Consider the following 1,501-nt stretch of genomic DNA (forward strand, 5'->3'; position numbering starts at 1 on the left):
CAAATGGTAAAATGGCAGACATAAATAGAATTATACCAATTATAATCTTAAATGTGAGCAGATTAAAATCCATTCCAGAGGCAGAGATTGTCAGACTGGATTAAAACAAGTGATCCCAATATACGCTGAGATGCAAGGATACTAATGGATTGAAAGTAAAAAGATGACAAAAAATATCATGCAAAGAGCAATCATAAGGACACTGAACTCATTATACTCATAACACACAATATCGACTATTAAAAATGTGAATAGGATTTTAAAAATTTATATTGTAGTAAAAAGGGGGTCAACGCTTTAGGAAGACATAGCTATTACAATCATGTATGCACAGATATGAGCTAAATTGTTTCCTCTATATAGATGCTGAAATTCTAACCACTGAATATGACCTCATTAGGAAATAGGTTCTTTGCAGCTGATCAAGTTAAGATACAATCAGATGAGCCTGAATTCAATATGACTGATGTCCTTATTAAAAGAAGAAATTTGAGTAGAGGGAGACATACACACAGGGAGAGTACCATGTGATTATGAGGGCAGAGATTAGCCAAGGAATGCCAAAGACTGCCACTAAACCACCAGAAGCGAGAAACAAGGCAGAGAACAGGCTTTCTCTCATAGCCCTTGAAGGGACCATCCCTGCTGACACCTCAATCTCAGACTTTTAGCTTCCAGGACTATAAGACTATAAATGTATGTAGTTCAAGGCACCCAGTTTGTGTTACTTGGTTATGGCAGCCCTAGAAAACTAATGCATGAACTAATGACAAAGCATAATAACATGAAGCAAAAATTCACAAAAGAGGAGCATCAGCAAAATGGCAGTGGAGACAGCTGCAATCTTTCATTTCCCCACAGAAACATCACACATCTAAGAGAAACTGTCCGAAAAAAGTTTGCCAAAACTCTGGAAAATGGTCAAAAGATTACAACAACCAAGTGAAAGCAGACTCAAGAAAAAGACAACTTGAAAACTTTATGACATTTTTAACCTGCCTTTGCCCCAGCAAATTGGCAGTTTTGAAGTGTCAGAGGCCCACGTTCCCAGTGAGGAAGCCTCGTCCATGGTCCAAAGGAACAGGAGAAGATCTTACCCGCAAATTATTCTGTGTCTGTTCTGACTAGTCTGGGGGATACCTAAAGGACTCATGAAAGGCTTCTTTTTTCTGTGTTGCTAGAATACAGAACAGATAAGGAATGGACATTATTAAGAAACTCTGCAAGGAGACCTAACAAACCACAGATGCTTAGGGCAAAAATTAAAGTTTACACATATAGTAGATCACCCTCAGCACAGCAAGAAAAGTTGGAGAAGAGTATTTCAAAAAGTAAGACATACAAAATCATTCACGTACGTGGGACGGTCTAGAAAGTCACATGTATTCATAGGTTAAGCCACATGCTGACAAATGTCATAAGAAGACCCTACACTTTTACCTTGGCTGATCCCTTCCCTCAGTGCAAGCTCTGTGCAAGAGTCAACTTGAACTTCACTCAG

This window comes from Homo sapiens, chromosome 15 (genome assembly GCF_000001405.40).
Source record: "Homo sapiens chromosome 15, GRCh38.p14 Primary Assembly".
In the NCBI taxonomy this organism is placed as follows: Eukaryota; Metazoa; Chordata; class Mammalia; order Primates; family Hominidae; genus Homo; species Homo sapiens.